This window comes from Homo sapiens, chromosome 7 (genome assembly GCF_000001405.40).
Source record: "Homo sapiens chromosome 7, GRCh38.p14 Primary Assembly".
NCBI classification, from domain to species: domain Eukaryota; kingdom Metazoa; phylum Chordata; class Mammalia; order Primates; family Hominidae; genus Homo; species Homo sapiens.
In genome coordinates this window covers 87,547,371-87,564,543 of record NC_000007.14, presented here as the reverse complement: position 1 = coordinate 87,564,543, position 17,173 = coordinate 87,547,371, and the positions used below count along the sequence as shown (strand labels likewise).

At 37.1% G+C, this 17,173-nt stretch overlaps 1 protein-coding gene across 4 annotated transcripts in view; it reads left to right on the top strand.

Moving 5' to 3' along the window:
- ABCB1 (ATP binding cassette subfamily B member 1) overlaps positions 1 to 17,173 on the top strand; it is a 210,279-nt gene that overhangs the window by 148,752 nt on the left and 44,354 nt on the right. For all 4 annotated transcript variants that reach the window (NM_001348944.2, NM_000927.5, NM_001348945.2 and 1 more), the window contains 7 exons: positions 3,157 to 3,281; positions 10,612 to 10,783; positions 13,706 to 13,819; positions 13,966 to 14,076; positions 14,248 to 14,373; positions 14,490 to 14,693; positions 15,026 to 15,196. In NM_001348944.2, the coding sequence (NP_001335873.1) occupies positions 3,157 to 3,281; positions 10,612 to 10,783; positions 13,706 to 13,819; positions 13,966 to 14,076; positions 14,248 to 14,373; positions 14,490 to 14,693; positions 15,026 to 15,196 (1,023 nt within the window). The remainder of the gene's footprint in view (positions 1 to 3,156; positions 3,282 to 10,611; positions 10,784 to 13,705; positions 13,820 to 13,965; positions 14,077 to 14,247; positions 14,374 to 14,489; positions 14,694 to 15,025; positions 15,197 to 17,173) is intronic.

Sequence of the window (17,173 nt, the reverse complement as noted above, 5' to 3'; positions counted from 1 at the left end):
ACCCAATCACAGCAAGTGACCTGGCCCAGGAAGCCTCTTTTGTACTTTGTGCCCAAGACTGTCTTCCCAGCGCCCAGAGACACTGGGCCACTAGAGGGCATTGGTACAGGAAACCACCACACTCTTCCCGACCTGGCAGTCTGATCTTGAAAAACCACTTTCACTCCCTCAAGCAGCAGAAGCAGGGGCCAGTGGGAGCCCCAGAAGCTTCACATAAATCAAGCCGACCAAAATAATACTACAAACACTCTGAATATTAAACCGCTCCTGGAACCACAGCTCACAAAAGTAGACCAATACTATCATGCTAAACTTCAATGGAACAACTGCCGGCTAGAGTAAGGCAGGTTTATTTTATTTTAACTTTTTAAAACTTTTATTTTAAGTTCAGGGGTGTAAGTGCAGGTCTGTTCCATAGGAAACTTGTGTCATGGGCATTTGTTATACAGATTATTTCATTACCCAAGTATTAAGCCTAGTACCCATTAGTTATTTTTAATGACTGTCTCCCTCCTCCCACTCTCCACCCTCTAATAGGCCCCAGTGTGTGTTGTTCCCCTCTATGTATCCATGTGTTCTCATCATTTAGCTCCCACTTATAAGTGAGAACATGCAGTATTTAGTTTTCTGTTCCTGAGTTAGTTTGCTAAGCATAATGGCCTCCAGCTCCATCCATGTCCCTGCAAAGGACATGATCTCATTTTTTTTATGGCTGCATAGTATTCCATGGTGTCTATGTACCACATTTTTTTTTTATCCAGTCTATCATTGATGGGCATTTAGGTTGATTCCATCCTTGTTTTGTGCCAGTTTTCAAGGGGAATGCTTCCAGCTTTTGCCCATTCAGTATAATGTTAGCTGTAAGTTTGTCATAGATGGCTTTTATTATTTTGAGGTGTGTTCCTTTAATACCTTGTTTGTTGAGAGTTTTGATCATGAGTGGATGTTGCATTTTATTGAAAGACTTTTTGCATCTATTGAGATAAGCAAGTGCTTTTGTTTATGTGATGAATCACATTTATTGATTTACATCTGTTGAGCCAAACTTGCATCCTGAGGATAAAGCCTACTTGATCATGGTAGATAAGCTTTTTGATGTGCTGCTGAATTCAGTTTGCCAGGATTTTGCTGAGGATATTTGTATCATATTTGTTCATCAAGGATACTGGCCCAAAGTTTTTTTGTTGTTGTATCTCTGCCAGGTTTTGGTATCAGGATTATTCTGGCCTCATAGAATGGGTCAGAGAGGAGTCCCTCCACCTAAATTTTTTGGAACATTTTCAGTAGGAATGGTATCAGCTCTTCTTTTTACATTTGGCAGAATTCAGCCATGAATTCATCTGGTCCTGGGCTTTTTTAGGGGGTGGTAAGCTATTATTACTGCCTCAATTTCAGAACTCTTTATTGGTCTGTTCAGGGATTTTATTTCTTCCTGGTTCAGTCTTGGGAGGATGTATGTGTTCAGTAATTTATCCATTTATTCTAGATTTTCTAGTTTATGTGCACAGAAGCATTCATAATATTCTCTGATGGGATCCTTGTGACTGAATTGTTCTGCATCATGACTGTGTTGTGTACTACCATGTCCAGCTAGTTTTTAATTTTTTTGTAGAGATGGGGTTTCTATGTGTTGCCCAGGCTGGTCGTGAACTCTTGGCCTCAAGTGATTCTCCCACTTGTCACCCCAAAGTCCTGGGACTATAGGTGTGAGTCATCACACCTGGCCTTTTCATATCCTTGATAATAGGATAGGTTAGAGGGTCTTTTTTTTTTTTTTTTTCTTTTCACAGACATGATCTCCTGAAAAACACAACACTTAATGAAGATTCAACCATACTTTTGTCTGCTTATAATGATGGAAGGTCATAGAAGGAAAAGGGAGCTAGATTTGTAGAATTCATTGTGGTGTTTGATATATTAATAATAAATTAAAATAACATTTTTAAACACTCCTAACTTTAAAGTATTTCTTTAAAGTATCACTTTGAAGTGATCTTCCTATTTTTGGTTGTCTCCATTGTGGCAATTGTTGTGGCACCATGAGGTTTCAGAAGGAGCAGAAAAACATTCCTAAAGCATGTTGTATGAGCCTCCTCTATTCTACAGATGTTTGTTAAGGGATGGCGCTGGCCACCCTATCTCAGACCTCCTACCGTGAATGGTTCTGCAAATATGGTGGGACAGCCCCAGGAAGATTGCTTTGAGAAGTCAGGAATGTCTAGTGAATCAATGGAATATTATTTTGGGTACTAAAGAGGCTAGGTACGTGCAGCACAATGTCTGCACTTAGAACATAACTAATCAATGTTCATTTGCCTTCATCCACCCATTCCTCTAGCTGTCATAGCTCCTTTTACTTTCACACACAGGAAAGGGAGAAATCCACTGTCAAAACCCAAACAACTTTGAGCTTTTTATGCCAAGAAGGGATAGATCAATGTTACTTACATAAATGAGTCCACAAGTGCCTATGAATTTTTTATTGAAAGAATATAATTCTATTTAATCAGAATTTTTAAAATAAATTGGTTTTGTGTAATTTTGGGGGAGGGGTGGGGAGAACAGGGTCTCACTCTGTTGCCCAGGCTGGACTGCAGTGGCACAACCACTGCTCACGGCAGCCTCGTCCTCCTAGGCTCAAACGATCCTCCCACCTCAGCCTCCTGAGTAGCTGAGACAATAGGCATGTGCCACCACACCTAGCTAATTTTTAATTTTTTTGTAGAGGCGGGGTCTTGCCATGCTGCCCAGGCTGGTCTAGAATTCCTGGGCTCAAGCAATTATTCATCTTTGGCATCCTAAAATGTTAGGATTACAAGTGTGAGCCACCACACCTGGCCTGTCATGTGTAATCTTTATTTAGGTAGTTGACCACTTCAGCATTCTAGGTACAATAACGTTAGCCCTTTTCCCATTGCAATTGATCCAGCTTTCATAATAGGACCCTCTGGGACCCAAGTTCATGCATCAGTGGCTGGTTTCAGGGAGAGGTTTACTTCAGTGGCTGTTAATACAGACCAAAGGCAAGTAAAAGACAGATTTTGCTCTACACATGCATTAATGTATAAGCAGCATTTATGTATACATTTATTTTTACTTTACAAAAGATAAAATTAACGTGTTTTTTTCATGATCCAAAATTGTATTTTTAAACAGATACTATCTTCATTTACTGATAAAGAACTCTTAGCGTATGCAAAAGCTGGAGCAGTAGCTGAAGAGGTCTTGGCAGCAATTAGAACTGTGATTGCATTTGGAGGACAAAAGAAAGAACTTGAAAGGTTTGAGTTTCTTTTTTAAATGGATAGATATGTTAAATTCTGTCTTCTCAAATGCCCTTCAGATTGACAGTGTTATTTATAAGCATTTTCTCCCATATATATGTTTTCTTAAATAGCTTAATGGATGTATTACAGCATAACTAATATTTTGGAGAAGTTGCAATTCTAATTGTACTTTTCTTTTATCTGCTAATTCAAAGAGTTTTCTAGATGGGCAATAACATAAAAATAGTTTCCAAAGACTGAAATGTATTTTATACCTCTGATTTTTTTCCTCTATCAAGTTAATTAGTGATTCTCTAATATTGACTGAGTATTTTGTGTAAGATCTATGGGGACATTTTAATCCGTGGTTCATTTTCCTTTCTGCCCCTATTCAGCTGACATATGCTACATGATTTGGAAGATAAAAATATAACCAAAAAGCACTTATGTGTACAAAAGTTCAAAATCTTTTATATTATGTGTTGTTTAGTATTATGCTTACAACTGTTCCCTTTTATTAGATTTCTGAAAGCATAGATGGTAATTTATTGAAATTTAGAATATAAATCAGATTACTGATTTCTAAGCAGCAACAGATTTTATGTAAAATTGAATATAAATTATAATATTCTGATGCTATAACACTTCAATCTTATGAATATAAATATCTTTGAAGGTATGAAAAAGTAAACTGTATTGGTTAAGGGGGTTATACATTGTTTGGTACAGCCATGAAGAAAACCAAGGGAATTTTCAGAAATCAGAATAATGGTTAGCTCTAGGGAAGATGAGAAGTTGTGTAAGGAGAGCCGAACACACAGCAGGGGATTCTGTGGTTCTGGCAGTGTTCTGTTTCTTGATCTCAGGTATACTTACATGAGTATTCATTGCATAATTTTTTTAACTGTGCATATGTGTTTGGAGTACTTTTGTTCTATGGTATATTCACACATATAAATATATGTCTTCTGAGAATAATTTATAATGGTTAAGTGCCATAGTTCAAAGGAAAGCAATATCTATGTTCCATTTTGATTTTTGCTAAAGTCTTTGCTTTTGCTTTAAAAGATGTCTGGCTAATAAAATGAGGAGTCCTGCTTAATGACTGAGCAAATATTCAATGAAATAAATCCCCGGCTCTCATGGAGCTTAAATTCTAATGGGGGTGGTAAGGTTACAGACAACCACAAATAATCAAATAGGTAATACACCAGTTGGGGTAAATATTATTTGGGGAAATAAAATAAGAGAATCATGAGGATACTATTTAGATAAGTTATTCAGAAAAATATTTTCTGATTAGTTGATATTTGAGCAGAGACATAATGAAGTTTTGAGTTTGGAATTCTTTTCCAGTTTTCCTCAGAGAAAAGGTGGACCAGAAAAATAATATGCCCAACAGCCCAACAGCATTGGAAGACAGACAAAACTTAACAGCTTCTTCCTGGTTTCTCAGCTGGAGGAAAACATCTCCCCATAGAAGTTAGATTCTCAGGCCTGACTGCTATCTGCAGATGGGGTCTGAATTTATACTACTCTGTGAAGTAGGAAACAATCTCTCTCCAAAGCTGAGGATTTCACATTAAAAATGAGTCCTAATCCAGTGATACCAGAGTATCTGGTAGAAGAAATACAAAATTATTGAAAATTAAAGAACTAAACATCTAAATCAAGAAGTTAGGGAAAGAAAAATAAAATATTAGAAGGAAATAATAAGGGTAAGAGCAAAAATTAATTTAATAGAAAATAAAGGCAAAAGAGTGGAAGATTGACATATCCATAAACTAATTCTTTAAAAAGACTTATAAATAACTATTTTATATGTTTAATCAGGAACAAAAAAAGAATGAATAGGGAAAACTTGTAACAGATTAAAAAATCTATTTTTAAATTGCAGCTTTATACCAATAAATTTAAAAACCCTCATGATATAGATAATATGCTAGAAAAATGTAGGTTAAAACTCTCACTTAAGAAGGAGAAGATCTGAGTAAACCCATAATCGTTAAAATAATTGAATTCAAAGTTAAAAATCTCCATTTTCCACTGCTTCTCTCCCACAAGCAGAAATCACAAAACAAGTCTGGATAATTTTGTAGGCAAGTTCTACCACAACTTCAAGAAAGAGATAACCCTATCTTACATAAATTGTTGTAGAAAATGGAAAAAAAAAGTTGTGAGTTCATTTTATGGGGCTAGTGTAACTTTGATACTATATTACCAGGCAGATATAATATGAGAAAGGAAAACTAAAGGACAGTTTCACCTAAAACATAGATGCAGAAATTATAAATAAATAAATAATTAGCTAAATAAATCCATGTGAAAAATACCAAATTGAAAACATCCTGAACATGTTGGCTTTATCCTATGAATGGAAAGATGGTTTTAACATTAGGAAATCTATTAATATAATTAACCATATTAATAGACTAAAAGAAAAAATTTGTTGTGATGTAAGGGGAAAAGCATGAATTATATATGATTCATGACAAAAACTCGTAAAACTAGGAATAAGAAACAACCTTCTTAATATATTAGAGACCCGCAGGAAACATTTAGTGGTGAAACATTAAAAATATTTTAACACTTAAAATAATGAATGAAATAAATACATACTATTTTGTCTGTCAATTTAAAAAATAAAAAACAAATAATGAATGAGGCAAATGTGTTTACTATCATTTCTATGTACTGTTGTACTAGTACTAGATAATAAGACCAATAAAACAAATAAGAGTAAGAATGAAAAAAAGAAAACGAAAAAGAAAAACAGTAAGTATTGGAAAATAGGAAGAAAACTGTCGTTATTCACAGACGATAAGATTGTCTACACAGAAATTCCAGTAGGTTTTATAAGCTAACAAAATACAATAAGATCTCTGGGTACCTATCATTATTCAGAATAAATGGCATTCCTGTAAACCAGGAATGAACAATTAGAAAATATATAGTATTTCATCCATTCAGAATGAATCCATCATCTCTGAAATGGAAATAAACCTAACAGTCAGTGCCATCTTAAATTTGCTATGGATCTGGATTGAAGTCCAATTCTATCAGGCAGGATTTATGTTTGCTTCTGCTATTCACCAAGGGCACTGCTAACCTGAGACCACCTTACATTAAATTATGTGTCTAGTTGTTTTTGGACAACACTGGTAGTGTGAATTCATGCTCAGACCTGCATGAGTCCTACTTTGTGGTCCAGATTCTCAGGGAGGTTTTTTTCCTTCCTTCACCTGGTTGGTGCCAAGACTGAGACATGCAAGTTCTGCTGTGTGTTGCTTAATATACTGAGGTATAGCCCTTTGAGTCCTAGCTGCATATGGAATGTTCTATTAAACTCATTTCTTAATGCTTTATAAAATGACAGAATACCAGTACTTGCTACAATTAAAGACATCTTAAATTTGAGGAACTGACAATATTTTTAAGGACATTATTAGCAACAAAAACTATAATGATGGATGGAATAAAACCTGAGAAGGAGGAAATGGACATTGTGGGAGTGAAGCCCAACATTTGTAACTTAGATAAATCTGATATTTTAGTTCACTGAAAGTTTAAAGGGATTCAGATTTAATGGAGTGCTTTAATTAGTTAGATATGAAAATATTTTTCCTAGCAAAAATGATCAAATTTTAATTAGAAGAATAAACAAATGGACTTACACAGCTATATCCAGAGATTCCTATATTTGCTCTAAGTAGTATTTTACATGTGGAATCATTTCTTCAGAAAATATAAGTTACTTGAATGTATCTTTGAAAGGGCAGTCTCCTTCAGAGAACTGAAACTAATTTTGCTTGGAGATCAAGAATTGACGTAAGACTACAAACTGATGGCCTAATGTCCTTCCCAAGTTGGCCATTTCTTTAAAGTTTATTTATTTGACAAATTTATTCAGCACCTACAACATGCCAGGCACTGTGCTAGGTTCTAGGTTTTCCTTTTCTTTTCTTTTTTATTTTATAAAGTTCTAAACAAAGCTAGGGCTCTAGGTTTTCAGCTGTGAATCAGAAACAGAGGTTATTTTGTGATCTTCAGTCAAAATAGTAAAATGGATAAAAATGGAAGGAATGGAGAAAGGGAGGAAGAAATATAAGGAATCGTCAAAGAAAAAAATAAAAATATTGATTTAAAAATGTGATCTGAAAGAATCAAAGAGTGTGAGGATGATGAATGGTCAAGTTAACTTTAAATACGGTGGTTGGGGCAGGCCTCTTTGAGGAGGTTTCATCTCAGCTGAGACCTGAGGGATGAGAAAAAGCAAGCCATGGTGGGAACAGAGATGGGATGGGTTTGAAGAAGAGTCTTCCAAGTTTCCTGGGGTGGCCAAGAATTTAGTATGTTCTAGGAAACGTCATAAGGCTTGCATGACTGAAGCTCAGTTGAATGAGGGGAGATTGGGGTGGGCAGGGGCCAGAATGTGGGGATGATGGGCCATGATGAAGAGTTAGGATTGTATTCTAAGGGCACAGGGGAGTGGTTGAGGGTGTTAAAAAGAGGAATGACTATCCACGTTATGTTTTCAGATTGTTTGTCTGTAATGGGTCTCATGAATGGATGCGAGAAGTCAAAGGGTGGAAGCAGGGAGACCAGTGGGGAGGCCGGCAGAATGGTCCAGGCCAGAGCATCTCCCTGATCTGGAGCAGAGGCAGGAGAGGGGTGACAGGTACCTAGATTTGGGATATAACTTGAAAGTAGAATTGATGACTATTCTTAGACCAGACATAATCAGTTTTCTTTCCTGTTCTTCTCCTTCCCTTCTCTGCTTCTACATAAAGTAATTGAGGTCTTAATCTGGCTTTCTCTTCAAATTAGCAGTGCAGGAGGGAAGCTGGCTCTCTTTGAATGGAAATTTAACCAGAAGTTAAAATAAATTCCATTCAATCGTATAGAATAGTTTTGTTCCTTTTCACTTAAAAATATTTTTCTCTCTTTTATGTGCCTTGAAAATATATTTATCTATTAATATTTATTTCTGTTGGCTTAACCAAAATTGTTCCTTATTCTTAAAGTAGTTACTTGCATTATTGATAAATATTTTCACAATATTTAAGAAGAGTCATATTTCCTACATACCAATGGTTTTGTTATATAACTTTAGTCTCTTTTAGTCATTCCTACTTTCATGACCATTTCTGTACTAAAGCCTTTGATGAATGGATGATTTTAATATCTAGTTTTATGTATGGCATTTGTATGGAAAAACAACAAAGAGCTTATGGAAAAGGAGTATTGTTTATATCTCATTTCCCTTTGCCCCCTTCTTTCCTTTATTTCTCCTTTCTGATGTCTAAATGATTTTCTTCCTTGTGCTTCTGTGCAAATGTTTCCTCTGGCTGCATAGGACAACATCAGACTGGTTTCTACGTTAGTCTTGGTAAGCGAGAACTGAAATAAAGGAGATAACAGAGTATAGTACATATGTATTAAATGTCCTTAAATATATTCTTATGTAAGTTATGCCCAGTGGTAGCTTTTACCTCAGATCAACTCATAAAGTGAGAGATATGTATGTGTCTGTGTGTTGTGTGTGTGTGCATATGTGTATATAAATAATTGAAACGTTTCTCAAAAATAATTTTTCTGTTCAGATGATAACTGGCAAGTTGAGGATTTACATTTTGGGGGGTAGAAACTAATGATGTGTTGCTATGTTGTCACTATGAAGTTCTGTTTAAATTTCATCTTTAGTGAACACGGTAGTGATGTAAATTTCACTTGGCATGCTTTTGTAACTCTGTAATGTACCTAGTTAAAGTAGTCATGAAAGCAAGAAACAATGCATGTTCATATCTGGACAGTGCTTGAGCTCTGCTGTACATGCTAATGGAACAAGTTCTCCAAAGGAAATTAATATAATGCTATATAATATTTATATAGTTGTGAATTTATGGATCAAAGACCTTAAAGTATGACTTTTATATGGAAGTAAGTTCATGAATTTCAACAATTATTAGCTCCTCCTCTATCCAAGGCAATGCTCTAGGTTCTGCAGGGAGTTGCGATTAAGAAAATACAGACAGATTTAAGGCAATCTGTCCTGTTTCTCTAATCCTTTTACCTTGGTTCTACATTTGCAAAATTCCTTATTTTTCTTTAACTCTGGGCTCCATTAGCTTATCTCCATAGCTATCCTCTTAAACAGAGTAGTCTTCTCTGTTCCTTTCAAATGAAGGTCGAGTTATAGACATCATCTCCTTTAACTTTACCGTCAAAAATTGACCACCCTCTGAGGGTTTAAAAAATATTTGAATTATCAGTTGGGAATAACCTGTAAGTCATTAGAACTGCAGAAATAAAATCTGTCAGTGACTCCAACATTGTTTTTCGATTTTTTTTCATTTGCTCATTTTTGCCCCTTTTGTACAATTTCCTATATTTGCTCTAAGAAGTATTAATGGGTCCTCACCAGGTTTGGTTAATGTAGGGTAGGCCTTTGTGCTATGAATGGGTTCAGGGCTATAGATATGCTAATAATTTAATTTTTCTCAGCCCTTGAGTTAGTCAGAAGCCGTGGATGGCCCAAGCCACCAGGTCAGATCCTGTTAGTTCAGCAGCTGGCAGCTATGGCATGACAAGTGTTGGGAGCATTAATAGAGGGAAGGACACATAGTCAATATGTAGAAAGGAGAAGGAAGAGAGGGAATGCTGATGAATAATGATGTGCTTTTATAAACCTGTAAGCCAAATAATTTTTGTAGGTCAGTGATTTTTAAAATAAATGTCTACGGAAGTAAGATAAATTGTACAGCTTATTTAAATGTAAAAAGTATTACATGGCAATTCAGAACTCTCAAAATGCTCTCACACATGTAACCTCTCAGTTGGTCATTCCGACAGTCCTAGAGGAAGGCAGGACAGAGAGCAAACTGTCTCCAAACTTCCTTAATGTTCAGAGATTTAAATGACTGTCCCTTTTTTTTTTTTTTAGTACTTTCTAACATTATCTCTCCATTTTATTAATTAAAGAGGCATGCAGATTTTGAAGGAAAGACACAGGTTTTTTCCATGGCTTTTACTTTGTCTTGTGTATGAAACAATGTAAGTTTTAGAAGTTTGCTAAATATTGCTTCACTTATTTGCTATTGCTAAAGCCAGAGAAGGAAATTTTAGAAGACTCCCCCACAAATAAGTTAATCTCTATAAATGTCAGTTTCTTCTTCTGCAAAAAGGGAGTAAAACAGTACTACTATATAGGGTCAATGTATGAGCAGCAGGACAAAATGCATGTATATCACAGGACTGAACACATCCTAGCCACTCTGTAACTATCATGCTATATCGACATGTTTTCATAAAATGTATATGTGATCATTTTTGTTCTTTTTCTCAGGTACAACAAAAATTTAGAAGAAGCTAAAAGAATTGGGATAAAGAAAGCTATTACAGCCAATATTTCTATAGGTGCTGCTTTCCTGCTGATCTATGCATCTTATGCTCTGGCCTTCTGGTATGGGACCACCTTGGTCCTCTCAGGGGAATATTCTATTGGACAAGTACTCACTGTAAGTGGTTTACATTGAGAAATGAACCATTATTATAAAATGCCAATGAAATCCAGTAATGTTGGCTTGACTTTAGAAGAATATATTTTGAACAACTGTTGAATACTACAGACATATGCACTACTAGGTTAAAAAGTGGAAGGCCAGGCACGGTGGCTCACACCTGTAATCCCAGCACTTTGGGAGGCCGAGGCAGGCAGATCACGAGGTCAGGAGATCGAGACCATCCTGGCTAACATGGTGAAACCCCGTCTCTACAAAAAATACAAAAAATTAGCCGGGCGTGGTGGCGGGCGCCTGTAGTCCCAGCTACTCAGGAGGCTGAGGCAAGAGAATGGCGTTAACCCGGGAGGCGGAGCTTGCAGTGACCTGAGATTGCGCCACTGCACCGCAGCCTGGGTGACACAGCAAGACTGTCTCAAAAAAAAAAAAAAAAAAAAAAAGTGGAAAAAAATTAGATGCATCCGACAACCAGTTTTTTCTTTTATTTGCTTGTTTGTTTTTGCAGATATCTTGCACAATTTATCCTGTAGCCTAAATAATATTAACGTTAGCAATCTCAATAGCATGAACTTTTATTTGTTGAGATTATTTGTGCCAAACTTGTTGCTAAACACTTCACTTTTATTTTCTGATTTACTATTCACAAAAATGGCAAAATACACATTTTGACTTCTTTTCAAATTATTTCGAATGGCAGCTAATCCACCTCACAAATTATGGAAGTATAAATTGTTCCTCTTCCTAAAAGATTGTTTGGAAGTTTTCTGCATTATAGACCTTTGTGCAAGCACAGAAGTCTTGCCATTTAATGTTATCCTCTTTTATTTTAAAGACAATGAAATAATTTGCAAACCAAACTCAATTCATATCTGGATCTAATAAAATACACTGTTAGAAGAGTCACTTAGTTCCTTTTTCGTAGGCCAAGCAGAAATAGATTGAGGCAATGAGAGATGATATTTTGTAGAATCCCTTAAAACAATTCCCTTTTTCAGGAGCCAGATTTGTAATATGGATTCAATAATCACTTCTTTTTCTTTTTTTTTCAAATTTGCCTTATCCAACATTGCTCAGTGGGGAATGGCTTTTCCCATGAAGTTTTTTTTTTTTAGTATAGTGATGCTGTGGGTGATCCTTGGTTGTCATAACAGATGTTTTCTGTTTAACTGTGATTGAGATAAGCAGTTTAAATCCAGTGTTCACTGGGCATGAATATACTTCACACACTGGAGGCATCCAAAATAGGGAGTGTGGGGTTTGATATCGGACCAACTTGATTCAAATGGCAGCTTTGTCACTTATTAGCTGTATGATTTAGGGCAGCCAGCTAAACTTTTCAAGCCTCTGCTACCTCTTCTGCCAAATGATATGACAGGAATGAACCCTAACTTTCAGCGTGTTTTGAGGACTAACTGAGATAATGAATATAGAATCACTTAGCAAAGTTCCTTCTGTGTAAATTATTGAGCAATATAATTCCATGTGATTTAGAAAAAATGAATAATGACATTAATTCTCATCAACCCCAAAGAGAAACACAGTTAAGTCTTTACCAATAAGAAACTGATTTGCACAAAACAAAAAAACAAAAGGCCTAAAGAGAACACGGCCTTGTGGCAAAAAAGACAACCTGATAAAGGATCAGTGTCTTAGGTGTGTGTGCTTTATAATTAACAAAAAATGTTCATATACACTGTTTTATCATGATACAACATCTCTATGATTGCTGGGTAGGGAGAACAGATAGAATCTTGCCTGTTTTTGCCAATGAAGAAATTGAAGCCAAAGATTCTAAGAGAATGGCCTAACAACATATAACTAGTTATTACTAATTTAGGATTCAGAACTGGGTCTTCTGACTCCTCTGCTAGCATTTATTTCCACTTTACCTTACTGATGATCTAAATAAAAAAAAAACTAGACATTGAAGAAATATAAAAATATCCTATTATAATATTCTAGCCCTGTGAAATTTAAATCATTGTTTATTGAGCAAGTAAGACTAATTCTGCATTCTAAATTGAAAAGTATTTATATTTCCAAAATATTTTTAGTATGGGCAACATAGTGAGATCTCATCTCTATAATTTTTTTTTTTAATTAGCCAGATATGGTGGCACTTGTCTGTAGTCCCAGCTACTTCGGAGACTGAGGTGAGAGGGTTGTCTGAACCCAGAGGTTGAAGTTGCAGTGAGCCAAGATTGCACCACTGCAGTCCAGGCTGGGCAACAAAGCAAGACCTTGTCTTAAAATTTTTTTAAAAAAATTTTATGCTATTTTTAATTGACAAATCATAATTGCATTACACTTACGGAATACAATGTGATGTTTATGTATACACACACATACACACAAAATGTGGAGTGATCAGAGCAAGCTAATTAACATATCTATCTCCTCACTTGACACCTTTTGAGGTGACACATTTGAAATTTACTCTTGGCTGGGTGTGGTGGCCCATGCCTGTGATCCCAGCACTTTTGCAGGCTGAGGCAGGAGGATTGCTTGAGGCCAGGAGACCAGGCTGGGACACGTAGCGAGACCCTGTCTCTAGAAAAAATAAAAAAAATTAGTCAGGTGTGATGGTGCATGCTTGTAGTCCTAGCTACTTGGGAGACTGAGGCAGGAGGATTGCTTGAGCCCAGGAGGTAGAGGTTATGACGAGCTATGATTGCACCACTGCACTCCATCCTGGGTGACAGAATGAGAACCTGTCTCTTAAAAAGGAAAAAAAATGAAAAAAGGAATTAAATGTACTGTTAGTTACAAACTTTTAAAATATTTTTAACACCTAGTATTTATATGTTGCCTCGCCATTTTAAATTTTAATTACCTATGTTAGAAAAAGACAGAAGAAGTATGAAAAAAAATTGCTGTCACTATCTCAGTAGCCTGATGGTTTTTCTTCACATTCCTCAGGTATTCTTTTCTGTATTAATTGGGGCTTTTAGTGTTGGACAGGCATCTCCAAGCATTGAAGCATTTGCAAATGCAAGAGGAGCAGCTTATGAAATCTTCAAGATAATTGATAATGTAAGTCTGAGTTGGCCATCTATCCACCTATCTAAAAGATTGTCCAGTTAAGTCAATTTCTTTGTCACTTTATCCAGCTCTCCACAAAATATCACTAAAAGTAGTTATTGTAACCTAGTAATCTCTTAAAATTTGATTCTGTTTAGAAGCCAAGTATTGACAGCTATTCGAAGAGTGGGCACAAACCAGATAATATTAAGGGAAATTTGGAATTCAGAAATGTTCACTTCAGTTACCCATCTCGAAAAGAAGTTAAGGTACAGTGATAAATGATTAATCAACAATTAATCTATTGAATGAAGAGTTTCTGATGTTTTCTTGTAGAGATTATAAAAAAGTGCATGTATATTTAAACCTAGTGAACAGTCAGTTCCTATATCCTGTGTCTGTGAATTGCCTTGAAGTTTTTTTCTCACTCGTCCTGGTAGATCTTGAAGGGTCTGAACCTGAAGGTGCAGAGTGGGCAGACGGTGGCCCTGGTTGGAAACAGTGGCTGTGGGAAGAGCACAACAGTCCAGCTGATGCAGAGGCTCTATGACCCCACAGAGGGGATGGTGAGATGACCCATGCGAGCTAGACCCTGCGGTGATCAGCAGTCACATTGCACATCTTTCTGATGTTGCCCTTTCAATTACAAATGTATGAAAGTCACACTTACTTTTTATTCCAGGTCAGTGTTGATGGACAGGATATTAGGACCATAAATGTAAGGTTTCTACGGGAAATCATTGGTGTGGTGAGTCAGGAACCTGTATTGTTTGCCACCACGATAGCTGAAAACATTCGCTATGGCCGTGAAAATGTCACCATGGATGAGATTGAGAAAGCTGTCAAGGAAGCCAATGCCTATGACTTTATCATGAAACTGCCTCATGTAAGTTGTCCTTGCCCTTTGCCTTTCTAGAGGTGCAAAAAATAAAATGCAGGCCTACTATGCAGGAAGTTAGGAAACTACTATAAATCGGAAGAAGGGAAATCCTAAGAAGGGAAAGTAAGATTACTTCAGATTTGAAAGCTCTAGCAGTATCAACTGGTCGTAGATACATTTTTAAAAACTGAGGTTGGTTATTGTGTTAAATAAGATTTAAAGAACTGGACCTGTATTACTTGTGAGACTTGGGCTGTGTATAGGATTCCTTACCAATTTAAAATATGAGCTGAGATAGCTTGTCCTTATGCTAAATCATTCTGGGTTTTCTGTGGTAGAAATTTGACACCCTGGTTGGAGAGAGAGGGGCCCAGTTGAGTGGTGGGCAGAAGCAGAGGATCGCCATTGCACGTGCCCTGGTTCGCAACCCCAAGATCCTCCTGCTGGATGAGGCCACGTCAGCCTTGGACACAGAAAGCGAAGCAGTGGTTCAGGTGGCTCTGGATAAGGTCAGTGAGGCTTAGTTCAAACCAACCTGATTTATAAGCATAAGAACATTCTACTACTAATTCTTGTTAATATTGGTCTTAGAAAAGGAAATTTCTGATAGCTTCTAGGTGATTCCTTCAGCTATTAAAATAAAAGCATTGGGCCTCTTTGAAATCTTTTTCTATTTGTTTGTTTTATTGTTCAATTTCTATTTATTTCTCTGATCTTATTTTAAATGTTGATGAATACATTTTCATTTGAAGACACTTGCTAATCTTTTAAATTAAAAAATAGAAATATAGACACATGTGAAAGTTCATCTTCATTGTGATCTTCAAAACTTGACTATGTGGATAACCCTGTTATTTAGGTTTTGAGAGTTTGTAATATTGCCAAGAAGAGAAAAATACAACCTGAAGGTCCATATATAATTTTCCAGGTGTTGAATGCCACTTGAAGACTCTATGCGAAATAAGAAACCTCTTATTTCCAGGAAAGGGGCAGATAGCCTGTGATACTGAAAACCTACCTAAGCCATGACAGGTTATTGACTATCAACAGAGTTTGACTGTCCTGCAATTCTGGAGTCCATATGACTCATTCACCAAATAGCATTTGAGTGTTTGCCGTGTGCCGGGCACTGTGCCTTTGATCTCCAGCACGTGATAGTAACGGGGATAATTCTGTGAGGACCGAGAATGTGGAGATGGAGACATTATAACCAAAGGTGTTCCAAGTTGAGATGTCACAGTAGAATTCAAAGATGAACTCATATTTGTTTCAACTCTCCCTGTCTCTAATAAAACAACACTTGAATGTTCCTTAACATCCTGTCAATGTGCTTAATAAATTTTTGAGAGAGAAAAAAAGCAGCTTACTAAACATTCTGTGAACCAAAATAGAGGCCGATGGGATTCTGGTTACTATTTTTCCCCTCATTTTGCTTAATCTGTGATTTCATCTCTGTGTTTTTCTTTTTCTTTCTTTATTTCCTTCCTTCCTTCCTTCCCTCCCTCCCTCAATCCCTCCCTCTCTTGCTCTTCCTCTTCCTTTCCTTTCTTTCCTTTCCTTTCCTGACCTTCCCTTCCTTTCATTTCCTTTCCCTTCCCTTCCCTTTCTTTCCCTTCCCTTCCCTTCCTTTCCCTTCCCTTCCCTTCCTTTCCCTTCCCTTCCCTTCCTTTCCCTTCCCTTCCCTTCCTTTCCCTCCCCTTCCCTTCCCTCCCCTTCCCTTCCCTCCCCTTCCCTCCCCTCCCATCCCCTCCCCTCCCTTTTCTTTTCTTTTTTCTCTTCTCTTCTCTTCCTCTCCTCTCCTGTCTTTTCTTTTCTTATCTTATCTTATCTTTTCTTTTCTTGTTTCTTTTCTCACTCTGTCACCAGGCTGAAGTGCAGTTGTGCCATCATGGCCACTACAACCTCTGCTGCCCAGTCTCAAGTGATCCTCCCACCTCAGCCTCACAAGTAGCTGGGACCACAGGTGTGTGCCACCATGCCAAGGTTTTTTTTTTTTTTTTTTTTTTGAGATGGAGTCTCGCTCTGTCGCCCAGGCTGGAGTGCAGTGGGACAATCTTGGCTCACTGCAACCTCTGCCTCCTGCCTCAGCCTCCTGAGTAGCTAGGATTACAGGCATGCACCGCCACACCTGGCTAATTTTTGTATTTTTAGTAAAGACAGGGTTTCGTCATGTGGCCCACGCTGGTCTTGAACTCCTGACCTCAGGTGATCCACCTGCCTCGGCCTCCCAAAGTGCTGGGATTACACGCGTGAGCTACCGTGCCCAGCCCCCAGCTATTTTTTGATATATTTGTAGAGATGAGGTCTCACTATCTTGCCCCGACTGGTCTCAGACTCCTGGGCTCAAGCAATCCTCCCGCCTCAGCCTCCCAAAGTGCTGGAATTACAGGAGTGAGCCACTGCTTACTGGTTTGCTTATCTGTGTTTCCTTATTAATCTATAGTGAAACTATGTATTAAATTATAAATAAAAACAATTTTAAAAGG